This window comes from Homo sapiens, chromosome 19, assembly GCF_000001405.40.
Source record: "Homo sapiens chromosome 19, GRCh38.p14 Primary Assembly".
Classification (NCBI taxonomy): Eukaryota; Metazoa; Chordata; class Mammalia; order Primates; family Hominidae; genus Homo; species Homo sapiens.
In genome coordinates, this window is record NC_000019.10 from 53,962,589 (window position 1) to 53,990,471 (window position 27,883).

Genomic DNA, 27,883 nt, shown 5'->3' on the forward strand with positions numbered 1-27,883 from the left:
CGAGTGGGGTTAGTGGGATGGTGGGACGACTTTCTTGGGCAGAAGACAGGAGTGGAGAGAGATTTCATCTTATTTATTAATTATTAGCGGTGGTGGGGACTCCTCCGAGTGGGGTTAGTGGGATGGTGGGATGACTTTCTTGGGCAGAAGACAAGAGTGGAGAGAGATTTCATCTTATTTATTAATTATTATTATTATTATTATTATTATTATTATTTTTGAGAAAGAGAAGCAGTGGAGCCCCGAGTGGAAGGAGTTTCTGGAGCTGAGGCAGGGATTTTGGGGGGGGGGGGGCGGGGACTGGGGGAGGTACCTGTGCCTTCTTCTCCTCTAATGCGAGATCTCGCTCCTTGCCCTCCACCAGCCGCCGACCATGGCCGCGCTCTGACCCCCTCCCCGGCCGCAGCCTCCTCCTCGCCGCCCCCCTCCCCAGCCCCGCCGGCCCCGGGCCCCCCGCTTCTGCCTGCGCTGTGAACCCCCCCCCAGCCGCCGGCACGGCCCCGCCCCCGCTGCCCCGGTGGTGGCCCACGGCCCCCCGGCTGCCCGTGGTCAAACTGGAGTCGCTGAAGCGCTGGAACGAAGAGCGGGGCCTCTGGTGCGAGAAGGGGGTGCAGGTGCTGCTGACGACGGTGGGCGCCTTCGCCGCCTTCGGCCTCATGACCATCGCCATCAGCACTGACTACTGGCTCTACACGCGCGCCCTCATCTGCAACACCACCAACCTCACGGCCGGCGGCGACGACGGGACCCCCCACCGCGGGGGCGGCGGCGCCTCGGAGAAGAAGGACCCCGGCGGCCTCACGCACTCGGGCCTCTGGAGGATCTGCTGCCTGGAAGGTAGGGTGCGGGCGGCCCTCCCCGCAGCCCCCGCCGCTCCCCTCCGAGAGACCCTGAGCCTCCCGGGGCTGCCTGTCCCTGATCCTGGGGCCCCCTTGGGCACCCCTCCTCCTCTGCCAGAGGGGCTTCTGCGCCTTCCCACTCGCGCCCCTGACCTCCTCTCCCCTCCTTCCCACTCCTCCCTGCGTCCTGGCACCCTGCGGAATTCCTCGGCATGCTCCCTCTGCAGCCCCTCTGCCTCTCCGCTGAACCCCCTTATCCTATCTTTCCCTAGTCCGTGTCTCCTGCGCTGCCCCATCACACCCCTGCATCTTCCCTCTCTCCAGTACCTGGGGCTCCTCCTGTTTCATTTCTTCCACTCTGCCCTGTGCCTTTTCTCTTTTTTTTTTTTTTTTTGACAAGGTCTCACTCTGTCGCCCAGGCTGGAGTACGGTGGCACAATCACAGCTCACTGCAGCCTCGAATCCCTAGGCTCAAGCCATCCTCCCACCTCTGCCTCCTGAGTAGCTGGGACCACAGGCATGAGCCACTGTGCCCAGCTAATTTTTTTTATTATTTGTAGAGATGAGGTCTCCTGTTGCCCAGGCTGGTCTCGAGCTCCTGAGCTCAAGAGATCCTCCTGCCTTGGCCTCCAAAGTGCTGGGATGAAGGGCATGAGCCACTGCACCCAGCAGCCTCTTTCTCCCTCTTTCCCGTCAGTTCATCTTGACCCTGCTCCTCCGCTCCACCTGCCCCTTCATTTCCTCTCCCTCGTGCCCCGTGACATCTTCTCTCTCCCGACATTTCCCCCCCAGTCCTCTGAAGTCCCCTGCCTCTCCCGCCCCCTTTCACGGCCCAGTCTTCCGGTCTGTCTCTTTCCCCTTCTCTTTGGCTGCTGCTCCCCTGAAACTTCGTGCCTTAACTCGCCCTCACTCATGACTTTCTCTCTTTTCTGCCTTGTGCTTCTCCTCCTGTTCATCTTTCTCTTCCCATCAGTGCCCCCACCCATGTCTCTCCCACCAGGGTGCCCTCCAACCTCCCATCCTGGTCCTTTCCTCCTTTTTCCTTTAGTGGACTCCACTTCCTCTTCCTCCACTCATGCCTCCTTCGACGTCTTCCTGACTCGATGCCTCAGGCCTTCACGTTAAGGCTTCTCGCTCCTGCCCCTGCTACCTCCTCGGATCTTCGACTTGGTTCTTTTCCTCTGTCCTGTTCTCCCTCTCACAGCTTCTCTCCTAGCTCGGCTCCCTGGCTCTCGACTTCCCCACTTCTCCAAGACTCCTGCCCTCTGCTGTGCCAACCCCTTCTCTCTCCCACTCTTAGCATCAGTATTTCTTTCCTGAGTATCAAGTAGCTGCGGGGCTGGGAAGCAGGAGTCTTGGGTGCCAGTTCTGCTGCATATCTGCCCTGCTGTGTGACCACTGTCTTCCCTCCTGCACCCCAGCCTCACAGCCCTTGTCTGCAACGTGAAGGAGTGGAACCAGCCATCCTGATGCCCCCTTCGGCCAAAAGATTGAAATCTCTTGCTTCTCTTTTTCATCCCCCTCTATTTCCTCTGCCCCTTCTTCCTCTGTTTTGCTGAGTGTTCACGACAAGCCGGGAACGTTATCTCGTTTAATCCTATGAGGTGGGCACCACCTCGCTGTTGGGGATGGGTAAACTGAGGCTCAGAGAAGTGAAGTCACTTGCCCAAGGTCACCTAGCTGAGAAAGGGGCCGAGCCAAGAGCAGAACTCGAATCTCATGGATGGGATTCACAGATGCGCTCTGTCTAGTGTACAAAGTGTTTAAAACTGAAAGCAAAATCTGAATCCATTGCCAACAGTTAAAAATAGGGAGGCTTCCCATTGTAGTTCTGATTTCCGGCTTCTTCTGAGCTGGCGGAAGATCTAGCACAAGCCTGTGTTCTACCCTGACCACGATGGGCCGGATCTGAGCAGCAGCTGGGGGGTCTCCACTTCCCCACAGTCACCTCCATCTGCTCCGTCTCGCCTCCCATTCCTCCCACGGCTCTCGTGATGTTCTTTGCCTCTCCTGTGGAAGTTTGAGTTCATGTCCATTCACTGGTCTGACCAAGTACCAGGCATAGAGCCAAGTGTGAGGGCTCCCATCATGGGAGCCCTAGGACAGCACGTGGCATCTAGTAGGGATGTCATTCATTCATTCATTCGTTCATTCAACGTCCCATTTTTATTGAGTTTATATTATGTGCCAGGCATTGTTCTGGATTCTGGGGCTGCAGCAGTGGAAAACAAACAGACAAAACCTCCTGTCGTTATATATCTTATATTCTAAGGGAGAGACAGATAATGATGGAGGTAAAGTCAACCTTTAGGGTGTTAGATAGAACTGAGTGCTAAGGAGGACAAGGAGTTGGGGGAGGGGATGGGAGGGGTCAGGGATCCCCGTGGGAAGTAGATAAGGAATCTAGGAAAAGCTTCCCCGAGCAGGTGACATTTGATCACAGGTCTGAAGGAAGTAAGAGATGGAGGAAAGTGCTTCAGACTGTAGGAATAGCAGGCGCAGAGGCCCTGAGGTGGGAGTGTGGCTGTGTGTTGATCAAGCCAGTGTGAGGTCAGCGTGGCCGGGGCAGAGTGGGTGGCGGAGAACGTAGGAGTAAGAGGTGCAGTCGTAGGGGTATCAGGGTCCCCATCCCACAGGTTCTGTTTTTTAAAAATTATTTATTTATTTATTTATTTATTGAAACAGAGTCTTGCTTTGTCACCCAAGCTGTAGTGCAGTGGCGTGATCTTGGCTTACTGCAACTTCGGCCTCCTGGGTTCAAGCGATTCTCATACCTCAGCCTCCCGAGTAGCTGGAATCACAGGTGTGTGCCACCATGCCCGGCTAATTTTTGTATTTTTAGTAGAGACAGGGTTTTACCATGTTGGCCAGGCTGGTCTCGAACTTCTGACCTCAAGTGATTGGCCCGCCTAGGCCTCCCAAAGTGCTGGGATTACAGATGTGAGCCACCATGCCTGGCCAGCTTCTGTGTTTGTTTTTGTTTTGTTTTTCTTTTTTTGTTTTTAGGCAGGGTTTTGCTCTGTCACCCAGGCTGGCGTGCAGTGGTAAGACCATAGCTCACTGCAGCCTTGAACCCCTGAACCCAAGCCGTCCTCTTGCCTCAGCCTCCCAAATAGCTAGAACTACAGGCACATGCCCCCATTTTTTGTAGACACAGGGTCTCACTATATTGCCCAGGCTGGTCTCAAACTCCTGGGCTCAAGCAATCCTCCGGCCTCAGCCTCCCGATGTGTTGGGATTACAGATGTCAGCCACTGCACCCGGCCTCACGGCTTCTTATACATCCCAGAAAGCACTTTGCTTTAGATTCGGAGATGGGAGCCGTTGAAGGTTCTTGAGCAGAGGAGTCACACGAGCTGACTTACATTTTTGCGGTATGTTTCTTGCTGCTGTGTTAACAAATGACCGAGGGGAAGGCAAATGAGACAACGAGAGGCTCATCTAGGGTGGGGGCAGCAGGGTTTGGGAAGTTGTTTGAATTTTGAGTATATTCTGGAGCTACCGTGGGCAGGAGTTGCTGATGGAGCAGTTGTAGGATATGAGAGAGAAGAGCCAGGGGCGTCTCCAAAGCAGGGTTTTTCCACCGCAGCATGGTTGATATTTTGGGGTGGATAATTCTGTGTGGAGGGGCCGTCCTATGCATTGTAGGATGCTGAGCAACAGCCTTGATCTCTCCTACTAGGATGCCAGCAGCGCCCTTCCCAGTCGTGACAACCAAAATTGTAAATTGTGTCTAAACATTGTCAGCTGTCTCCTGGGGGATAAAATCGCCCTGAGTTGAGAATCACCGCTCTAAGGCTTTGGCCTGAGCTCCTGAGAATAGGGGAGCCATTCATAAGATGAAACAGCAGCTGTTTTATTTATTTTCTCTTATCAAATTTATTATGAAGGAGAGGGACCATGGGCTCAGTTTTGGGCATGTTAAATTTACGATGCCCATTAACAGATAACATCTGGACAGAGGTCAGCACAGTGAAGGTCCTATAAAGTGCCATATAGTAAAGATTTCAGGCTTTGTGGAGCAGTCTCTATCACGACTACTCGTGAAAACGACCAAGACAGTCTGTAAGTGAGTGTGGCTGTGTTCCAATGAGACTTCATTTATGGACACTAAAATCTGAATTTCACTGGGCGCAGTGGCTCACACCTGTAATCCCAGCACTTTGGGAGGCCAAAGCAGGCGGATCACCTGAGGTCAGGAGTTCAAGACCAGCCTGGCCAACATGGTGAAAACTGGTCTCCACTAAAAATACGAAAATTAGCCAGGCGTGGTGGCACGCGCCTGTAGTCCCAGCTACTTGGTAGGCTGAGGCAGGAGAATCGCTTGAACCCAGGAGGTGGAGGTTGCAGTGAGCCGAGATCGCATCACTGCACTCTAGCCTGGGCAACAGAGAGAGACTCTAAGAAAAAAAAACTTTTTTTTTTGAATTCCATGTCATTTTCACATGCCACAAAATCATCTTCTTCTTTGACATTTTCTCAATCATTAAAAACACATAAAACCCATTCTTAGCTGGATTTGGCCTGTGAGCCATAGCTGGCTGACCAGTGATTTAGGCTGCTAGAGATATGATGTAGGAGGCCAGAGGCTGGGCTGGAGATATCAGTTTGAGGGGCATCATCATATAGATGAATCAGATGGATGGAATCACTTAGAGAAGAGACAGTTGGGTGCAGTGGCTCACACCTATAATCCCAGCACTTTGGGAGGCCAAGGCAGGAAGATCACTTGAGCCCAGGAGTTCGAGACCAGCCAGGGGAAAACAGTGAGACCTTGTCTCTACAAATAATTTAAAAATTAGCTGGAAGTGCTGGTGCGTGCCTGTGGTCCCAGCTACTCAGGAGGCTTAGGTGGGAGGATTGCTTAAACCCAGGAAGTCGAGGCTAAAGTGAGACATGATCATACCACTACACTCCAGTCTGGGCGACAGGGCAAGACCCCATCTCAAAAAAAACAAAAAAAAAAAGAGAGAGAAGAGACCAGAACAAATGATAAAATGTCCTTATGTCATTGAAGGCTTAAGCTTTCGGCCAGTCTACTATTAAAATGTGAGGGAGATGGCCGGGCGCGGTGGCTCACGCCTGTAATTCCAGCACTTTGGGAGGCTGAGACAGGCGGATCACGAGGTCAGGAGTTCGAGACCAGCCTGACCAACATGGTGAAACCCTGTCTCTACTAAAAATACAAAAATTAGCCGGGCGTGGTGGCGTGTACCTATAATCCCAGCTACTCGGGAGGCTGAGGCAGGAGAATCCCTTTAACCCTGGAGGTGGAGGTTTGCAGTGAGCTGAGATCGTGCCACTGCACTCCAGCTTGGGCAACAGAGTGAGACTCTATCTCAAAAAAAAAAAAAAAAAAAAAAAGGGAGGGAGGTGAGAAGTCACCAAAGGAGTGGAGAAAGGAGTGGCCACAGGTTTGGGGAAAAACAGGTCCTTGGATGTCTTGGAAGCCAAAGGAAGTTAGCGTTTCAAGGAGAGGAGGAATGAAGGCTGACTCTGTTGTTGTTGTAATTGTCATTCATTTGTCACTGAATGCGCACAATAACCCTGCAAAGTAGGTACTTTATTTATTTATTTTTATTAATTTTGTTTTCGAGACAGATTCTTGCTCTGTCACCCAGGCTGGAGTGCAGAGGCGCGATCTCAACCCACTGCAACCTCCACATCCCGGGTTCAAGCAATTCTCCCGCCTCAGCCTCCTGAGTAGCTGGGATTACAGGTACCCACCACCACACCCGGCTAATTTTTGTACTTTTAGTAGAGACGGGGTTTCACCATGTTGACCAGGCTGATCTCAAACTCCGGCCTCAGGTGATCTGCCCGCCTTGGCCTCCCAAAGTTCTGGGATTATAGGTGTAAGCCACCGCGCCCAGCCGGTACTTTTATTATTCCCATTCTAAAAGAAGAAGTGAAGCTCAGAGAGGTGAAGTGAGTTGCCCAAGATCACACAGTTAATATGCAGTAGGGTCTGGATTTGTTTTTGTTTCTGATTTGTTTACTTTTTTTTTTTTTTTTAGAGATGGGTCTCACCACATTGCCCAGCCTGGTCTAGAACTCCTGGGCTCAAGCAATCCTCTCACCCCCGGCCTCTCAACGCATTGGGATTACAGGAGTGAGCCACCCTGCCCGGCCCAGCATCTGGATTTGAATCCAGGTGTGTCTGGTTTTCTAGGAGAATGAAGCAACAAATCCACTTGCTTTCAGCCCATCGGGGCTCCAGGGGTGTAGAAACGGGGTCCCCCTGAGTCATTGCGTCCTGCAGCCACTGTGCTCCTGGGAACCCTTGGGCTCAATCTCCATTTCCCTTTGGAGTGTGTCTGAGAGATGCAGTAGAATGTAATGACTGAAACAAGCTCGGAGGCTGCTCTGCCTAAGGAGCGGCCGTTCTTTATTCCTTTACTGTCTTTAATAAACTTGCTTTCAGCTGGGCGCGGTGGCTCACACCTGTAATCCCAGCACTTTGGGAAGCCGAGGCGGGTGGATCACCTGAGGCCAGGAGTTCGAGACCAGCCTGGTCAACATGGCGAAACCCTGTCTCTACTAAATATACAAAAATATTAGCCAGGGCTGGTGGCAAGCGCCTGTAACCCCAGGTAATCAGGAGGCTGGCAGGGCGCGGTGGCTCATGCCTGTAATCCCAGCACTTTGGGAGGCCGAGGCGGGCGGATCACGAGGTCAGGAGATCGAGACCATCCTGGCTAACACGGTGAAACCCCATCTCTACTAAAAATACAAAAAATTAGCCAGGCGCAGTGGCGGGCGCCTGTGGTCCCAGCTACTTGGGAGGCTGAGGCAGGAGAATCGCTTGAACCCAGGAGGCAGAGGTTGCAGTGAGCCGAGATGGCGCCACCGCACTACAGCCTGGGGAACAGAGTGAGATCCCAGAGTGAGAAAGAAAAAAGAAATATAACACAAGGATGGGCCAGTGGCTCACGCCTTGTAATCCCAGCACTTTGGGAGGCTGAGGTGGACGGATCACTTGAGGTCAGGAGTTCGAGTCCAGCCTGGCCTATATGGTGAAACCCCGTCTCTACTAAAAATACAAAAATTAGTCGGGCGTAGTTGTGGGTGCTTGTAGTCCCAGCTACTGGGGAGGCTGAGGCAGGAGAATCGCTTGAACCCAGGAGGCGGAGGTTGCTGTGAGCTGAGATGGCGCCACCGCACTACAGCCTGGGCAACAGAGTGAGATTCCAGAGTGAGAAAGAAAAAGGAAATATAACACAAGGATGGGCCACTGGCTCACCCCTGTAATCCCAGCATTTTGGGAGGCCGAGGTGAGAGGATTGCTTGAGTCCAGGAGTTCAAGACCAGCCTGGGCAACATAGGGAGACCCCGCCTGTGTAAAAAATTAAAAATTAGTTGGGCATGGTGATACATGCCTGTAGTCCCCACTACTAGGGAGGCTGAGGTAGAAGGATTGCTTGAGCCCAGAAGGTCGAGGCTGCAGTGAGCTGTGATTGTGCCACTGCACTCCAGCCTGGGTGATAGAGCAAGACCCTATCTCAAAAAAAAAAAAAAAGAAAAGAAAAGAAAAGAAAAAAAGAAATATAACATGGGTGACCATATATAGTTAAAATTTTTAGGCTGGGCACGGTGGCTCACGCCTGTAATCCCAGCACTTTGGGAGGCCGAGGTGGGTGGATCACGTGAGGTCGGGAGTTGGAGACCAGCCTGGCCAACATGGTGAAACCCCGTCTCTACTAAAAAAACAAAATTTAGCCAGGTGCAGTGGTGGGCAACTGTAATTCCAGCTACTCGGGAGGCTGAGGCAGGAGAATTGCTTGAACTCGGGAGGTGGAGTTTGCAGTGAGCCAAGATTGTGCCACTGCTCTCCAGCCTGGGCAACAGATTGAGGCCCTGTCTCAAAAAAAAAAAAAGAAAATTAAAATTTTTCTAGTAGCTACATTAAAATAAATAAAAAGGAACAGGTACCCAGCATAGCCAAGATATTATCACTTGAACATGTAATCAATATAAAAATTATTAATGAAATATTATACATAGACACTCTCTCTCCCTTTTTCCCCATCCTGAGTCTGAAACCCAGTAAATATTTTACCCTCACAGAACCTCTCCATTGCCACATTTCAAGTGTTGGGAGCTGGAGGCATCTGCATGGGACAGCCCAGCTTGTGCCCCCTCCTCAGGGATTTCAGCCACACCCCGAGGTCTTCTCTCAGGACTCAAGAGTCTGGGCCCACAGCCCTATTTATTAGTGCCGACCATACAGAGCCCCTTTGCTAGCACTTTGCCCTGCTTATTATCTCATTAAGCCCTCGCCACTTTGCCAGGGGAATGTATTATTAGCAGGAATCTGATGGCCAGAAAGGGGAAGTGGCTCAGCCTGGACTACCCAGCATGTGAGGGGCAGAGTGGGTTGGATCCCAGTTCTCCACGTGTCCGCACTGCAAGAAAGCTGCCCCTTAACCCTTGCATGCCCGGGTCTGCGCTAGGCAGCCCCTGGGAGGAGACTCAGGGCCATGACATCACCATCCATGCACAAGAAAAACTCATAGCTTGATCGGTGGCATTAAGCATAACTACTGTGAATTCTGTGCCTAACTTCCTTTTTTTTCAGACGGAGTCTCTCTCTGTCCCCCAGGCTGGAGTGCGCTGGAGTGCACTGGCGTGATATCGGCTCACTGCAAACTCCGCTGCCTGGGTTCAAGCAATTCTCCTGCCTCAGCCTCCTGAGTAGCTGGGATTACAGGCACCCATCACCACGCTGGGCTACTTTTTGTATTTTTCAGTAGAGACAGGGTTTCACCATGTTGGCCAGGATGGTCTTGAACTCCTGACCTCAGGTGATCTGCCCACCTCGCCCTCACAAAGTGCTGGGATTACAGCTGTGAGCCACTGCGCCTGGTCTTCTGTGCCTTTCTTTCTTGCTTGCTTTCTTTCTTTTTTTTTTCTTTCTTCTCTTTTCTTCTTTTCTTTTTTTTTTTTTTTTTGAGACAGAGTTTCACTCTTGTCGCCCAGGCTGGAGTGCAATGGTGTGATCTCTGCTCACTGAAACCTCCACCTCCCAGGTTCAAGCAATTCTCCTGTCTCAGCCTCCCGAGTAGTTGGGATTATAGGCACCTGCCACCATGCCTGGCTAATTTTTGTATTTTTAGAAGAGACAGGGTTTCACCACATTGGCCAGGCTGGTCTCGAACTCCTGACCTCAGGTGATCCACCCGCTTTGGCCTCCCAAAGTGCTGGGATTACAGGCGTGAGCCACCGCGCCTGGGCTTCTGTGCCTAACTTTCACTGAAATTTCACTGAAGCCCTCTAAAGTCACACTACCATCCTCAATTTCCCAATGAGAGAGCAGAGGCTCAGGGACGATCCGGTTCCAAAACCACGCAGCTGGGAAGTGGTACGTTGGGATGTGTGTCCAGAGAGTTGGATTCCAGAGCCCACGATCAATAACCCCCACAGCCACCAGACTCTACTGTCTTAAATATGCTGAACTCCCAAACCGAGCTGTGCTGGAAGGAACCTCTCCCCATCACTCACCCCCAATAGGGCTTTGGGCAACTTCTTCAACTCCCTATGCCTCCATTTCCTCATTTGTAAAGCAAGGATGCTGTCACTGCCTACCTCCGAGGGTTTGTCCTAGGGACTGAGCAAGTTATTAACCACCTGTCAAATGCTTGGAGCAGTACCTGGTGCACGGTTAGTGCTCAGTCAGAACTAGTTATTATTACTGTCACCACTAACCTGTTCAGCAATCCGGTGTGCCATGTGGTTTACATGCTCAGTCTCATTTAATCATCACGAATATTTTGAGAGAATTACTATGATCCCATTCAAGAAAGGAGGGACCAGGCTGGGCGCGGTGGCTCATGCCTGTAATCCCAGCACTTTGGGAGGCTGACGTGGGTGGATCACCTGAGGCCAGGAGTTCGAGACCAGCCTGGCTAACATGGTGAAACCCCATCTCTACTTAACATACAAAAAATTAGCCAGGGGTGGTGGCAGGTGCCCGTAATCCCAGGTACTTGGGAGGCTGAGGCAGGAGAATCATTTGAACCTGGGAGGGGGAGTTTGCAGTGAGCCGAGATTGTGCCAATGCACTCCAGCCTGGGAAACAGAGTGAGACTCTATCTCTTAAAAAAAATAAATAAATAAAAACTGGACAAGATGGCTTACCCCTGTACTCCCAGCACTTTGGAAGGCCGAGGCAGGAGGATCGCCTGAGGTCGGGAGATCGAGACCATCCTGGCTAACACAGTGAAACCCCGTCTCTACTAAAAATACAAAAATTAGCTGGGCATGGTGGCACACGCCTGTAATCCCAGCTACTCAGGAGCTGAGGCAAGAGAATGGCTTGAACCCAGGAGGTGGAAGTTGCAGTGAGCCGAAATCGAGCCATTGCACTCCAGCCTGGTCGACAGAGTGAGACTCCATCCCAAAAAAAAAGAAAGAAAGGAGGGACATTGAGCTTGTCATCTTACCTACCACACCATGGTGGAGGTGCTGATGGGTTAAGAGTTTGTATGTGGGAGTTGTATATTCATTCACTCATTCACTCATTCATTCGTTCATTCATTTTGATAATTGTAGTAAATTATACATAACATAAATTTACCATCTTCATCATTTTTAAGTATGCATTTCAGTAGTGGTAAGTGCAACCAATTTCCAGAACTCTTTTCGTCTTGCAAAATGGAAACTCAGTACCCGTTAAATAACTCCACATCCCCCCACCCTCCAGCCCTGGCAACTACCATGACACTTTGTCTCTATGAATTTGATTATTCCAGGAATTTCATATAAGTGGAATGACACAGTATTTGTCTTTTTGTTACTGGCTTATTTCACTGAGTATAATGTCTTCAAGGTTTATCTATGTTTATAGCATGTATCAGAATTTGCTTCCCTTTGAAGGCTGAATAATATTCCATTGTATGTACATAGCACATGTTGTTTATCCTTTCATCTGTCAACGGGCACTGGGGTGTTTCCGCTTTTTGGCTATTGTGAAAAATGCTACTATGAACACGAGTGTATGAATATCTATTTGAGTGCCTGCTTTTAATTCTTTTGGGTCTATCACCAGTACTGGCATTGCTGGATCATATGATGATTCTATTTGTAGTTTTTGAGGAACCTCGACACTGTTTCCCATAGCCACTGCACCATTTTATATTTCTACCAACAGTGCACAAGGTTCCAATTTCTCCACATCCTTCATAACACGTGTTATTTTATTTATTTATTTATTTATTTAATTTATTTATTTTTGAGACAGAGTCTCGCTCTGTCACCCAGGCTGGAGTGCAGTGGCATGATCTTGGCTCACTGCAACCTCCACCTCCTGGGTTCAAGCGATTCTCCTGCCTCAGCCTCCCAAGTAGCTGGGACTATAGGCACACACCACCATGCCCAGCTAATTTTTGTATTTTTAGTAGAGACAGGGTTTCACCATGTTGGCCAGGATGGTCTCGATCTCTTGACCACGTGATCCGCCCACCTCGGCCTCTCAAAGTGCTGGGATTACTGACGTGAGCTACCGCACCCAGCCTATTTTATTTTATTTTTTTATTTATTTAGAGATGGAATCTTGCTCTGTCACCAGGCTGGAGTGCAGTGGCGCTATCTTGGCTCACTGCAACCTCCACCTCCCGGCTTCAAGTGATTCTCCTGCCTCAGCCTCCCTAGTAGCTGGGACTACAGGTGCACACCACCATGCCCAGCTAATTTTTGTGTTTTTAGTAGAGACGGGGTTTCACTATGTTGGCCAGGATGGTCTCGATTCTCTTGACCTTGTGATCCACCCACCTCAGCCTCCCAAAATGCTGGGATCACAGGCGTGAGCTCCTGCGCCTGGCCTATTTTGCTTATTTTTAATAGTAACCATACTAACGAATATGAGGTGGTATCTCACTGTGGTTTTGATTGCATTTCCCCAATGATTAGTGAAATTGAGCATCTTTTCATGTGCTTGTGGACCCATTCAATCATTCTTTTTTTTTCTTTTTTGAGACTGAGTCTCGCTCTCTCGCCCAGGCTGGAGTGCAGTGGCGCGATCTCAGCGCGCTGCAACCTCCTCTTCCCAGATTCAAGCAATTCACCTGCCTCAGGCTCCCAAGTAGCTGGGACTACAAGCGTATGCCCCCACACCCGGCTAACTTTTGTATTTTTAGTAGTGATGGGGTTTTACCATGTTGGCCAGGCTGGTCTCAAACTCCTGACCTCAGGTGATCCACCCACTTGGTCTCCCAAATGGCTACGATTACAGACGTGAGCCACCACACCTGGCCCATTCAACCATTCTCTCATTAAAAATACTTATTAAGCACTCAATATGCACTAGGCACTGTTCTAGATGCTGGTAATACAGTGTCGAACAGCCCAGATGCTCACATTCATGATGTGTGTTTGAGTTTTGTTGCCACCATCAGCTGCGAAATGATGACCCTTTTCTGTTTCTCAGTTTCCACGTTTGGGTAATGGGTGCTATACATCAGCTGCTATCAACCGAGTACTTAATTGTGTTCAAGGCCAAGTGCTAAATCTCCACCTAGACCCAATCCCTCATATCAGTCCCATGAGGTAGGTCCTGTTCTCTGCATTTTATAGGTGGGGAAACTGAAGCAAGCTGGCCTATGTAACACCAGCAAGGACACAGAATAAGGAAGTGGTGGAGGCCAGCGCAGTGGCTCATGCCTGTAGTCCCAGCACTTTTGGAGGCTGAGGCGGGCGGATCACTTGAAGTCAGGAGTTCAAGACCAGCCTGGGCAAAGTGGGCAACATGGGGAAACCCTGTCTATACAGAAAATGCAATATTTAGCTGGGCATGGTGGCGCAAGCCTGTAGTCCCAGCTACTCAGGAGGCTGAGGCAGGAGGACCACTTGAGCCCAGGAGGTGGAGGTTGCAGTGAGCCGAGATTGTGCCACTGCACTCCAAACTTGGGCAACAGAGGGAGACCCTGTCTCAAAGAATAAAAAAAATGGAGACGTTCCAATACCTAACATTTGGCTGCCACAGCACACAAACCACATGATCTATTTCATAGGACTCTTGGGAGCATCAAATGAGTTGGCCCACCTAGCAAGCACCAAACGCACATTAGCTCTTGCCAGTATTACTCACTCCCTTATATTAATTCTTCCCAGTTCCTCCTTTATCCCTATTCTTTCCCCTACTTTCCTTTGCTGGTCATGGTCTGCCTGTGATCTCACCTTCTGCTATGCTTATATTCATTCATTAATTCATTCATTCATTCTTCATTCAACCCTCATTTCTTTCTCTCTCTCTTTTTTTTTTCTTTTGAGACGGAGTCTCGCTTTGTCACCCAGGCTGGAGTGTAATGGTGCAGCCTTGGCTCACTGCAACCTCCACCTCCTGGGTTCAAGTGGTTCTCCTGCCTCAGCCTCCCGAGTAGCTGGGATTACAGGCACCCGCCACCATGCCCAGCTAATTTTTGTATTTTTAGTAGAGATAGGGTTTCACCATGTTGGTCAGGCTGGTCTTGAACTCCCGACCTCAAGTGATCCACCCGCCTTGGCCTCCCAAAGTGCAGGGATTACAGGTGTGAGCCACCGTGCCCGGCCTCAGCCCTTATTTCTTGAGGTCTCCCGTGTGCCAGGCCTACTGCCAAGAAATGCTGGGACACACAGAGGAATCGGACTCCCATGCCCTACCCCCTCCAGGAACTCTCAGCTTACCGAGGACGAAGAAGATCATCTACCAACTAATGCATGTCCTACGGGGCACCTCAGAGCAGGAAACTGACCCAAGTTCGGTGGGAGGAATGAGTGTGCATGTGTGTCTGTGTGTGTCTAGGGAAAGCCTCCTCAAGAAGGTGCCTCCTGAGCTGCCTGCTGCAGGTAAAGTACTACATCAGCAAAGAATGTGAGCTGGAATGTTCCACAGCATGGGCAGAGGTCTGCAGAACTGGACAGAGCTGGGCAGTTGAGGAAACTACATTGTTTATACTTATATTTTTAATTTTTTTCTCCAGCTATGTGCTAGAGGTGGTAAAACATTAACTGTTCCCAAGGATGAGAAAATAGCTGAGGATGAGCATCTTAGGAGGGGAAGGAGATGAGGATGCATGACCCCTAGAGGCATACTCCACCCCTCACACACCTCTGCTTGCTTCAACTACTCCATTTCTCTCCAGAAGGTTCCAGGTTCCCTGCAGAAAGAGACTGGAACCTCTCTCTCCCCATCCCCACAGGACTAGAGACTACAACTCCCATGATCCACTGCGGCTGCTCTTCTCACAACTGGACTCCAGACTTCACGGGGTCTCATGGGAAATGTAGTCCTCATCGGCTTCCGCATCACTTTCCTTGTTTTTTTTCCCACGCATTTCCAGACTTTTCAACCAATTGAGAGGTGGGAAGCGCCTTGCTATTATTGAAGCCAACAACACCCTCTTTCTTACAGAGGTGGGAGCCGGAAGTCCAGAGTGCTGGAGCAACTTAGCGCAGCTTACAGGACCAAGGTCCTGTAGCCTTGCAGTGAGTGCTGCAAGGATGTTAGACTTTGGGTTTTTTTCCTTGCTTTTCTTCTTTTCTTTAACAGGCGGGGAAACAGACCAGAGAAGTTGAAAGTTTGTCCCATATCACGAGTCGGGCTCAGGAGCCAGGACTTGCGGTCTCCCAAGCAGCCCAGAGAGAGAAGGGGTTTGGGGAAGGGAAGGGTCGGTTGTCAGTGGGGTTGCCCCGCCCCCAACCCTGAAGTATCCGCCCCCACCACTGCCCTCCCCGCTCCTCCAGGGTTGAAAAGAGGCGTCTGCGTGAAGATCAATCATTTCCCGGAGGACACGGACTACGACCACGACAGCGCGGAGTATCTACTCCGTACGTGGGGGTCCGGGACAGACGTGGGGAGTGGGTCAAATCGCGGGGCCTGGAAGGCGTCGGGGTGGGTGCCGGGAAAAGGCACTGGGACTCCGGCACTTGGATCGACACGCCGAGGTTAGCCTCCCAGCCAATCCGAGTCCAGATAGTGAGATCCTCTGGTCCCCGATTGGCTGACTGATCTCGTTCCCGCCCCCTCCTCTCACCTTGGGGCGGGCTGAGGGAGGATCCTGGGCGCTAATTGGCCGCTTTGCTCTCTTTGGCCCTCGCGGCGACTCTGCGCCGTGACTGGTTGTGGAATCCCGGACTGGGATTGGCCACCGCGCCGCAGAGCTGTGGGGCAATCTGCGGCGGTGACGGGCCACTACTGGGAGCCGGCTGGGAAAGCCTGTATTGCCATTGGTAGCTACCCCGAGAACGCGGCAAATCCTAAATGATGATTGGCTGCGGCCTCAGCCAGGTTCCGAAATCGCAAAATCTAGTTGCCTGGGGTTTTAGGGGTGGGTGGAAAGGAAGGACTGCAGAGAAAAAGAGGAGGGCGGGGCGGGGAGTGGGGGCGGGGAGAGAGAGATAAGGGGAAGAAGGGAGGGAGGAAAAGAGGGAGAAAGAGAGATAGACGAAGTCAGGCCTAAAGGGGGTAGGGAGGGAGGGAAGGAGGAAGGGAGAGGAAGGGAGTGAAGAGAAGAGAAACCTGGAAGATTGAAGAAACCAGGCAGAAAAGGAGGGGAGAGAGAGACCCAGGAAGATAGAGGAGGCCAGGCGAAAAAAGGGGTGGGGTGGGGTGGGGTGGGGAAAGACCTAGGAAGACAGATGAGGCCAGGCAGAAAAAAAAAGAGGGGGGAGAGACCTAGGAAGATAGGTGAAGCCAGACAGAAAAAGTTGTGGGTGGGGGTGGCTAGGAAGACAGATGAGGCCAGGGAGAAAAAGTGGGAGAGAGACTTAGGAAGACAGATGAGGCCAGGCAGAAAAAGCGGGGTGGGGGGGGACCTATGAAGACATACGAGGCCAAGCAGATAAGAGGAGAGAGGGGAGACAGAGCCAGAAAGATAGATGAAGCCAGCAATAAAACTGGGTGGGGTGGGGGCGTGAGGAGAAGAAGGGAAGAGAAACTCAGAAGTAGATTCAGCCTGGCAGAAACGGGAGGAGGAGGAGGAAGGAAGGAATGTAGAGAGAGAGAGAAACCCAGATAGATGAAGCGAGGCAGAAAATGGGAGGGGGTGTGGAGAGAGGTAGTAAGTGATTTGCGGGATATGGAGAAAGAAATTCGCAGACGAGAGGAAGGAAGGGACGAGAAAGAGAAAGGGAGAGGATCCATGGAGAAGTTGGGAGAAAAACAGGGAGAGTGATTTCGATAAATAAAGAGGGGGAAAGATATTCCAAGAGAGAGAAAAATAGTCCGAAGAAAAAAGAAAAGGACAAAGAAAAAGAGGGAGAGAAAATCAGACCGAGAAATAGAGAAATTTTAAAAACAGGAGAGAGAATGAGGCAACAGTAAAATAAACCAGAACACAGCCGGAGAGAGAGAATCACAGAACTGTCGGGAGGCGCCGCGAGATGGGGGGCCGGGAAGGGGGCGCAGGCGGCCGCGTCTGACCGCCCTCGCTCTCCCTCCTTTTCCTTTCCTTCCTCCCCCGCAGGAGTTGTCCGGGCCTCCAGCATCTTCCCCATCCTTAGCGCCATCCTGCTGCTGCTCGGGGGTGTGTGCGTGGCGGCCTCCCGCGTCTACAAGTCCAAGAGGAACATCATTCTGGGCGCAGGGATCCTGTTCGTGGCAGCAGGTGAGAGGCAGAGGGAGGGGGCGACCGGGGCGGCCCACCTGGGCGCGCACGTGTGTGTGTGTGTGTGTGTGTGTGTGTGCGCGCGCGCGCGTGAGTGCAAGTGCGCGTTCGTGTGTCTGCAAAGCCACCTTGCCCCGAGCACCCCCGGGGGCCCGGAGCCTTCCTAGGCGGTCCCCAAGCTCCATCGCCACCCGCTGGGTAAGGTGGGTGTAGTTCTCGCGTCGCCTTCGGAGGAGTAAACCGACACAGGCAGGTGTCTGGCGCGTAAGACGCCGGGCGCTTAGGATCCCAAGCCCGCCGTCCTGGAGACGGAAGGGGAGGAGCTGGGGAGGGGGTGGGACCTTGAGACACAATTGGGCTCTTGAGGATAGAGAGGCGGGGCTGGGTCTTGGAGGGCGGGCCCAGGAGAGGTAGAAAGTGATCTGAGCGCCGATGAGGAGCCTGCTTTAAGGGGCGGGCCTTTGGAGACTTTGGTGGATCCAAGAGGGGGCTGGTCCTGGGAAACCGTCCAGGGCCGGGAAGTGGAAACTAAAGGGGCTGGGTAAGGGAGACTGAATCGGCCCTTGCCCGTGGCCATTTGGAGAAGGAGAGGCTAGAAAAGACGGGGCGATGCCTGGAAAAGCCAAAGGGGGAGGGGTTATGTCCTTAAGGGCACAGAGAATCAACCTGGCTGATTGAAGCAAGAGGCCGACCAAAGCCAGTCAGTACCTGGGATTGGCCGTCTCAAGAGCTAGGGCCTAGACGAGCAGAGAGCTAGGACTGGAACACTTAAGAGGCACGCAATTAAGGGGTAAGGCCCCCTTTCTACCCCGTATGAGTAGCATTGGGAAATTCCAGGGGCAGAGCTTTTTTGGAGGAGTAGAATACAGAGAAGAGGGAGGGCTTTGCATATTTGAAGAGCAGGGTGTGCTTTGGGGATGGGTCTAGATCTGCAAGGGGTGGGGCTTGGAGGATCTGAAAGGCCGGAGTAGCTGGACCTGAGACCGGCAAGGACCCGAGACCGGCAAGGACCCTGGCCAAGATCCGCACGGGGCGGGGTTTGGTAAGCTGGAGGTGGGGCCTAGAGTAGAAGGCGGGGCCTGCTTTATTAAAGGCAAATTTTTGACCAGTAGGGGAGGGCCTAGAATGGATACTCCGGCAGGAATTATATGAAGAGAGATTAGATAAGTGAAAGGCAGGGCCTGATCACAGCAGGATGACATCATTAACAGAGTTCAAAGGAGCAGAGGGATGAGGCTTGGGAAAAACCCAGGTTTATAACGTTAAGGGTGGAGGTAGACTAACTAGGGCAGGGCCTGGAAACTCATCTCATCAAAGGTGGGTTTTAGACCAGTCAGGGCAGGGCCTGGACTCGCTGGGAGTGGGGCTTAGGCCACCTAGGGGTGGGGCCTGGACCGCTTGGGGTGGAGTTACCACCAGCCAGGGTGGGGTTTAGACCAGCAGAGTTGGGACCTTAGCTAGAGGAGTGGGGTTTATGCCATGTGGGGGCAGCCCAGACCATCTGGGGGTGGGTCCTAGACCACCTGGGGCAGAGTTTAGACCAGCCAGGGCTGGGTTAGACCGGCAGAGGTGGGCCGTGGGCTATCTGGGGGCAGGACCTGGACCATCCAGGGCCGTGTCTGGACCATTCAGGGCAGGGCCTGGACCACCTGGGGGTGGAATTTAGACCATCTGAGGGGGTGCTTGAGCCTGCCTGGGCCAGGACCACGCATGATGCAGTCTGGACCATTGGCGGCCCTACACCACCTGGGGGATGGAGTTTCGACCAGCCGGGGTTGGATTAGACCAGCAGAGGTGAGGCCTGGGCCAGCTAAGAGTGGGCCGGAGCCCTCTGGGTTGGAGCTTAGACCAGCAGGGAAGCGCCTAGAGCATCGGGCGGGGAGTTGTGTTCACTTCTGGCAGGACTTGGGTCAGCCAGATCCAGGACGGGGGTCTAGACCACTCGGGGTGGGGCCTAGACCGCCTGGGGGTGGCGCCTGGGCCCGCTGGCGCAGGCGGGCAGGGGTCGGGGCCGGGGGCGGGGGCGGGGCCGGGGGTGGCCTCGAGGCTCCCGTCTGACCGTCCCCGCCCAGGCCTGAGCAACATCATCGGCGTGATCGTGTACATCTCCGCCAACGCGGGCGAGCCGGGCCCGAAGCGGGACGAGGAGAAGAAAAACCACTACTCGTACGGCTGGTCCTTCTACTTCGGCGGGCTGTCGTTCATCCTGGCCGAGGTGATAGGCGTGCTGGCCGTCAACATCTACATCGAGCGCAGCCGCGAGGCGCACTGCCAGTCTCGCTCGGACCTGCTCAAGGCCGGCGGGGGCGCGGGCGGCAGTGGCGGGAGCGGCCCCTCGGCCATCCTCCGTCTGCCCAGTTACCGCTTCCGCTACCGCCGCCGCTCCCGCTCTAGCTCCCGCTCCAGCGAGCCGTCGCCGTCGCGGGACGCGTCTCCCGGCGGCCCCGGGGGCCCGGGCTTTGCCTCCACGGACATCTCCATGTACACGCTCAGCCGCGACCCCTCCAAGGGCAGCGTGGCCGCGGGGCTGGCGGGGGCCGGCGGCGGCGGCGGCGGCGCCGTGGGGGCGTTCGGCGGCGCGGCCGGGGGCGCCGGGGGCGGCGGCGGAGGCGGCGGCGGGGCGGGTGCCGAGCGGGACCGCGGGGGGGCGTCCGGCTTCCTCACGCTGCACAACGCCTTCCCCAAGGAGGCGGGCGGCGGCGTCACGGTCACGGTCACCGGGCCGCCCGCCCCGCCCGCGCCCGCGCCACCCGCGCCCTCTGCGCCCGCCCCCGGGACCCTGGCCAAGGAGGCCGCCGCCTCCAACACCAACACGCTCAACAGGAAAACCACGCCTGTGTAGGGGCGCGGCGGGGGAGCCGAGGGGCGTGTCCGGGGCGCGTGCGCGGGCGCGCGTGCATCGAGGCTGCCGGGGTCGGGGGCGCCCCCGCTTTCCCCCGTGAGCGCGCTGGAGACTGCTGGGCCCGCCCCACGCCCACCCTCCCCGCCCCCCTCCCCCTCCGAAGCAGGGACCCCGAGGGAGGGGGCAGGGGAGGGAGGGGGCCGCTGTGAGGGAGCGTCGTGTTTTATTTTTTTGGGGGATCTATGGGGAGGGGGGAGGGCCATGGTGTTTTTTGCAGTTTCGAGATGTTTTCTTTTTCATGTTTTGCTGTGTGCATGGGGGGCGGGGCGGGGGGAGGGGAGGGAGGGACTCCCAGCCCAGCCCAACTCCTGGAGAGGGGCCCATAATACACGAATACATAGTTACACCCACAAACTATATATATGCCCTATATAAAGAGACACAGCGAAGGGATGCAGAAAGGCAGAAAGAAGGGTTGGACGCGGGCATTCATTCATTTTTTTCATTCATTATTCCACAAGGGCTTATTAAGCACCTACTGTGTACCAGGCACTGGTACATAAGAAGGCATTGGAGCAGGGGACACGAACGAGGCACAGAAAGGGCCTTCTCATTCATTCATTCATTACCGGCAATTTATTTGTGCGCCTTAAAAAGCTAGGCATTGTGCTCCGTGCTCAGCGTGCAGGAGGCAGGAAAACAGCCAGGGGCCCCGACGTCTCATAGAGTAAACATCTTGTGCATGAGACAGGCATTAATCGATCATGTACATACACAATAAATTACAGTTAGGCTATAGGAGAAACGAGATGCTATGAAATGCTCCATCAGGGGAGCCTAACCCAGTTGTGAGGAAGAGATTTCAGTGGACAGTGAAAGGATGAGAAGAAGCCAGCAGGGCGGAGCTGGGGCAGGAGTGTGGCAGGCAGAGCAGCACGTGCAAAGGCCCCGGGGCAGGAAGGAGCTTGCAGCGAGGGCTGAAGGGTAGTGAGGCAGGTGAGCGGGGATCAAGGTGAGGCCGGAGACACAGACAGGGCCAGATTGTGCAGGGGCTCGTAGGTCAGGAGTTCAGATTTTATTCTAGGAGTGGTGAGGGCCGTGGAACGGGTTTAAGCAGGACGCTAACGTGAATGGTGTACAAAGGGAAGACAGGAACTCGGAGGCAAGAGTAGGAGGCAGAGATGTGCTGAAATACAGCATCAAACATGGGCACGGGCCCTTGGAGCTCACACTCTTGTGGGAGGAAGCACGTAATTACACAGATGCTGAAGCATAGTCATGGTGTCTGGTGTGCAGGAGAAAGCCGTGGGGCTTAGAGACTCATGTGTCTGTCACTCGTTCATTCAGCCACTCACCCATTGCCATTTTTGGCCATCTGCTAAGGTACCAGGAAGTGTGTTAGGATCCAGATCCCCAGGGGTGAAACAGACTCTAGCCCTGCTCTCAAGCAGTTTATTGTCATCAAACACCGCCATCCAGGCAGGGCAATCGGTGCTGGAACCCGGACCACCGTGGGTACCGTGGCACACGGTGGACAGAGTGACCAACTGCCAGGAGTGAGCAGCACTTGGGGTAGGCTTCCTGGAGAATATGATGCCCATTCTGGGTCTTGAAGAAATGAGTGGGCATCTTCTGGTTGATGAAAGGCATGAGAAAGGCTTGTGGGGCCAAAGAACAACTTGGGTGAAAACGGGAGGAAGTGAACGAGCATGATGTATTGGGGTCAGTGCTAACAGTTCTGGGATGCTGATGTACAAGGTGGGGCTGGGAGATGAGGCCGGGAAAGTAGCCACAAGCTAGAGTGTAAAGGTACCAGGGTGGCCGGGCGCGGTGGCTCATGCCTGTAATCCCAGCGCTTTGGGAGGCTGAGGCTGGAGTATCACTTGAGCCCAGGAGTTTGAGACCAGCCTGGATAACATGGCGAAACCCTGTCTCTACAAAACATTAAAAAAAATTAGCCGGGCGTGGTGGAGCACACCTGTGGACACAGCTACTCAGGAGGCTGAGGGAGGAGGACCATTTGACTCCAAGAGTTCGAGGCTGCAGTGAGCTAGGATCGCGGCACTACACTCCAGCCTGAGCAACAGACTGAGATCCTGTCTCAGAAAAAAAGAGAAAAAGGTGCCTGAGTTCCAGGCAGAGGGACTGAGGCTCTTCTAAGGATGGTGAGAGAGGATGACAGCTGCGCGGGGGCAAGGGCTGTGCGGTGATTGGAGGGGATGGGTTTGAAGTTCACTGAGAAGGCAGAGGGGACAGCGCCCAGTAGGCTTCCCTTCCATATTTGCTCAGCAAGTGTTTCCTGAGGCCTCCCCCGAAGCCTTGTGCTGGGCGGTGCTGGGAGTGGAGAGGTGATTTTGATCTTGCCCTGCTCTCAAGGGGCTCCCAGTCTGGCGGGAAAACAGGCACAGACGCAGCTTGAGGAGGACGTGGCAGCGGTGGTGCCATGCTGCCAGGGGCTCTGCGTGCCCTTCTCTTGACGGAAGGGTACAGATCAGAGCTGGGTGTTCAGAATTTCTCTCCGAGGCCTGTGTGGAAGGACCAGGAAGAGAGAGACTGAAGGTCCCTAGGAAGAATTCTGCCAAGGCGGTTTCAGGAAGAGATGCTGGGAAATGTAGGAAAAGGAATACAAATCAGTGAGACGGAGAAGCGCTGAGTGAGAGAGACGGATACGTGGAGAGAAGAGGGATGCCGGAGCGGGTGTTAAAAGAGACAAATCTGGCCGGGTGCTGTGGCTCCTAATCCCAGCACTTTGGGAGACTGAGGCAGGCAGATTGAGCTCAGGAGTTCCAGACCAGCCAACATATTGAAATCTTGTCTCTACCAAAAATACAAAAATTAGCCGGGTGTGGTGGTGCACGCCTGTAGTCCCGGCTACTCAGGAGGCTGAGGTGAAAGGATCTCGCTTGGGCCTGGGAGGGTGAGGCTGCAGTGACCCGTGATGGCACCACTGCGCTCCAGCCTGGGCGAAAGAGCGAGACTCTGTCTCAAAAAAAAAAAAAAAATTGAGAGACAGCAAATATTTGCTGGAAGAGGGAGAGGGAACTGGTTAGGGGAGAATGGATTCTAGAGTCTGAAGGCCAAACAGAACGAGAGAGAGAGAGAGAGAGAGAGAAAGAATGAGGTTGAGGGTAGGCAGGAGGAAGAGCAAGATGGGGAGGGAGGGGGAGAGCAGGAGAGACCAAACTAGTAGAGTCACAGACAGAGAAAAAGTCAAAGACAGGAAGGTGATACAGAGGAGAGAGAAGAGGAAGAGGAGAGACTGACAGGTGCACAAATCAGAGAAGTCCCAGAGATAGCAGAAACACACACAGAGACAGAGATAGAGAGGGAGAGGTAAGCCGGAGACAGACTCAGAGATTCGCACAAAAAGCAACGTGGAGACTCAGAAGCAAGCGCAGCGTCAAGGAATGCTCCATTTCTGGTGTGTTGTTTTCCCAGTATTCAAGAAATATTTATTGAGTGCCAACCTGTTCTAGACCCAATCTCGGCCAGGGGATGTGGTGGCAAATAGACGGACAAGGGCCTGCTCTCCTGAAACACACTGGAGAGATAAACAATAAATAATATCATTTCAGTAACCAAAAAGTGCTTTAAAAATTAAGCTGAAGGCCGGGCGCAGTGGCTCATGCCTGTAATCCCAGCACTTTGGGAGGCCGAGGCTGGTGGATCACTTGAGGTCAGGAGTTCGAGACCAGCCTGGTCAACATGGTGAAACTTCATCTCTACCAATAAATAAATAAAGTAGCTGGGTGTGCTGGTGTGCCTGTAGTCCCAGCTACTTGGGAGGCTGAGAAAGAAGGATCACTTGAACCCAGGAGGCAGAGGTTGCAGTGAGCTGAGATCGCGCCACTGCACTCCAGCCTGGGCGACAGTGAGTGGTAACAGAATGACAGAGCAAGGATGACTTTAGATGAGGTCCTTGGAGTAGACCTTGTGGCAGAGGTCACAGAGATGTGGATTGTGAGTAGGAAAGAGAGGTGAGAAAGTCTGGGGGCCAGGCATTCCACCCACCAGAGGCAGCCCCAAAGCCCAGAAAAGTAGCAGGTCTTCGAGGAGGCCTGTGCGGTGAGCAGATCCACCATAGGACAGAGGCACAGGGTAGGGGCTGATCAGTTAGGGCCTTGGATCCTTGGGAAGAAATCTGAATTTTATTCTAGATCTGATGGGAAGTGCTTGGAGGGTTTTGAGCACAGGCATGCCATGATCATATTTTTATTTTCTTATTTATATTTATTTTGAAAAAGAGTCTTGCTCTGTCTCAGGCTGGAGTCCAGTGGGCTGATCTCGGCTCACTGCCAACCTCCGCCTCCCAAGTTCAAGTGATTCTCCTGCCTCAGCCTCCTGAGTAGCTGGGATTACAGGCATGTGCCACCACGCCTGGCTAATTTTTTTGTATTTTTAGTAAAGACGGGATTTCACCGTGTTGGCCAGGCCAATCTGAAATTCCTGGCTTCAAATGATCCACCTGCCTCGGCCTCCCAAAATGCTGGGATTACAGGAGTGAGCCACTGCGCCCGGCCTCATATTTTTATTTAAACAAGAACAGCAGAATTACATTGCTGTGCTGAGCATACGTAGACTTCAGGAGTCAAAGGGGAAGGAAGGAGGTAGCGGGCTGTTGCCTTCCTCTGGTTGCTGGAGGCCTGGACCAAGGTGGAGTTAGTGGGATGGAGGAAGTGGAAGAAGGCATGGGATTTTGGAGGCTAGAGCCTGCATTGGTGGTGAACTGGATGTCATAGAGGAGGGAAGGAAAAGGAACCAGGAAGAGAAGAACTCTCTGAATTGGGCACGCACATCTCTGATGGGCACCGATGAGGATTGTTACCAGGAACGAGGAGACTGGGATCAGGAAAGTGGCTTTGGGAGGGAGGAACCAAGGCTTCTCTTTTGGATGTGTCAAGATAGATCTGCCTTCGAGAAATCCGAGTTGTGGTATCAAATAGCCAGTTGGATATGTGAGACTGGAGTTTGGGGGAAAGAGAGGCCGTGGCTCAAAAACGTAAGTTTTGGAAACGTCAACATAAAGCCACAGGATTGGGTGACGTGGCCTAGCAGGGGGGTGGGGACAGAGAAGCGACCCTGGCCAGAGCCTTGGGGACATCTACATCTGGGGGAGAAGGGGATGTAGCAAAACGAGCTTAGGAGTGATCTCGAGGTAGGCTGAAACCAGGAGGGTTACAGAGGGCAAATGCACCTTTGTGTTTCAAGAAGGAGAGGAGACAGCCAGCTGTGCCAAGGGCTGCTGAGACTTGGACAAGGATGCAGAGAGCAGAGTGACCATTAGGTCTGATGACATGGACAGGGTTGGTGATCTTGATAAGATAAGATGTCAGTTCAGTGCAGTGGTGGGGACAGAAGCCCTGCTGGAGTGGAGGGGAGAGAGAATTTGGGGGGAAGACAGAAGGAAAGGGAATTCAGGCAAGTGTGTGTGTGTGTGTGTGTGTGTGTGTGTGTGTAACTGACACAAAGGCCAGGTGCGATGGCTCACGTGTGTAATCCCAGCACTTTGGGAGGCCGAAGTGGGTGGATCACTTGAGGTCAGGAGTTCGAGACCAGCCTGGCCAATATGGTGAAACCCCGTCTCTACTAAAAATACAGAAATTAGACAGGTGCGGTGGTGCACACCTGTAATCCCAGCTACTTGAGAGGCTGAAGCAGGAGAATCTCTTGGGCCCAGGAGGCAGAGGTTGCAGTGAGCCAAGATCACACCACTGCACTCTAGCCTGGGTGACAGAGCAAGACTCTGTCTCAAAAAAGAAAAAAGGTAAAAAAAAAAAAAAATGACCCTGAAAGGAAGTAGGGAGACATGCAGATAGGGAGATGGGAGGCAGAAAATTGCATCCTGCAATTAGCTGTCACAGCAGGCAGGAGCAAGAGAGATGGGGAAGCCCAGGGCCAGGAGGGGAAGATGAATTCAGGGGGCAGGGAAGAGAGGATGCTGTCAGCTAGGCTCTGGCAGATCCCCTAGCCAGGGATGCTCTGCCCAGCTCCTGTCTCTTGCTGCTGTCAGCGCCGGGCACACTCTGGGATTCCCCCTGTAGACCCTGTCAAGACCTATTGAGGTGAAGGGGAAGAACACGTTTTCATCATTCATTTTCAGAAATAAACATTCACTCAGTTCTTGGAAATACTTTCTGGCCAGGCTTGGGGGCTCATGCCTGTAATCCCAGCACTCTGGGAGGCCAAGACAGGAGGATTGCTTGAGGCTTGGCGTTTGAGACCAGCCTGGGCAATATAGTAAGACCCCGTCTCTACAAAAATGAAAAATGAGCTGTGGCGTGGTGGCTCACGCCTGTAGTCCTAGATACTCGGGAGGCTGAGGCGGGAGGATTGCTTGAGTCCAGGAGTTTAAGGTTGCAGTGAGCTATGATTGCACCATTGCACTTCAGGCTGGGCCACAGAGCAAGACCCTGTCTCAGAAAACAGAAAGAAAGAAAGTCAAAGAAATAAAGTCAAAGACAAGAAGGTGATACAGAGAAGACAGAAAAGGAGGAGGAGAGAGACTGACAGGTACACAAATCAGAGAAGTCCCAGAGATAACAAAAACACAACCACAGAGATAGGGAGACGTAAGCCGGAGAAAGACCCAGAGATTCGCATAGAAAGCAACGTGGAGACTCAGAAGCAAGCACAGCATCAAGGAATGATCAATAAAAAGAAAAAAAAATATTTCCTGAGGACTTCCAAGTACAAGGCCCTGCAATCTCAGGCCACTTCTGTCCCATCTCTGCCTTCAGAGGGGGGGACAGGTAGTCCAGACAATTAGAATACAGAGGGGGCTGTGTTCTGACGGGGCCACGCGGGCATTGAGGAAACGCAGCAGGCCCCTCCCCTAGCTGGGGCGGGGATGTCTGTGTGCCATCATCTCACTCCATCTGGTCATTCCTTTGCCCATTCATCCATCCATTCATTCAAGTCACCCCATGCACATTTTCCAAGACTGCCTGTGACCTGGCCCTGTGCCGGGTAGAGCTGAGGATGCCAAGGTGAATTCCTCCTGTGCCTGGCCCCGGCCCCAGTCTGCTGGAAGAACCAGACACAGACAATCACACTGCGGGGAAACACGTGCTCCATCGGAAAAGTCCAGAGCAGGGGGTGGGCAGAGAGGCCCAGCGTGCACCAGAGCCTCGCTCAGGTCAGCGCCAGGCCTGCCTGGAGCAGCCAACTGTGGGAGAAGAAGGAGTTGGTGAAAGGTGGGTCCCACCTGGGCCGTCCACAGAAGGGCTGAGGGGTAGGGGGTGAGGGGTTGAAGATCAGGCCCTGCCGCCATGCCACACGGCTGTCCTCTGTCCCTGCTCCTGGGGGAGCTGAAACTGCATGGAAGGTCCCCCAGGGGTGCCCCGTCTAATAAACTCGATGAAGAGGAGTGCTGCTTTCATTCTGTGCCCCTGACAGCCGGCCCTGCCCTGAGGCCTGCGCTTTCTCCAACATGGAAATCAGGCCTTCCATCCTTCAAGACCCAGGGTTCTGGCCCCAGTCTCCTCCCTGAGGCCCAGGACTCTGGGTCTGCCAACGCCTTGACCAGGAGTCCAGGCTCCCCGGCCCTCCTCCTCCCTCAGACCCAGGAGTCCAGGCCCAGCCCCTCCTCCCTCAGATCCAGGAGTCCAGGCCCCCTGCCCCCT

The 27,883-nt window shown here is 53.3% G+C and overlaps 1 protein-coding gene and 1 non-coding gene across 2 annotated transcripts, besides 1 other annotated feature; both read left to right on the forward strand.

The window, feature by feature from the left end:
• Nucleotides 1–348: 348 nt before the first annotated feature.
• Nucleotides 349–27,627, forward strand: CACNG8 (calcium voltage-gated channel auxiliary subunit gamma 8). Its single transcript, NM_031895.6, has 4 exons — nucleotides 349–837; nucleotides 15,558–15,641; nucleotides 17,279–17,419; nucleotides 19,492–27,627. Exons 1-4 carry the CDS (start codon nucleotides 555–557, stop codon nucleotides 20,259–20,261), a joined length of 1,278 nt encoding a protein of 425 aa, NP_114101.4. The 5' UTR covers nucleotides 349–554; the 3' UTR covers nucleotides 20,262–27,627.
• Nucleotides 17,395–17,927: an enhancer, noted in NCBI's record as "H3K4me1 hESC enhancer chr19:54483237-54483769 (GRCh37/hg19 assembly coordinates)". NCBI's record gives its function as "activates a minimal SCP1, AML or CMV promoter by ChIP-STARR-seq in naive H9 embryonic stem cells {active_cell/tissue: H9 hESC(naive)}" and the evidence as "EXISTENCE:reporter gene assay evidence [ECO:0000049][PMID:30033119]".
• On the forward strand, nucleotides 19,719–19,809 carry MIR935 (microRNA 935). The gene has a single exon (NR_030632.1). It is a non-coding gene; the product is annotated as a microRNA 935 (primary transcript).
• Nucleotides 27,628–27,883: the final 256 nt, after the last annotated feature.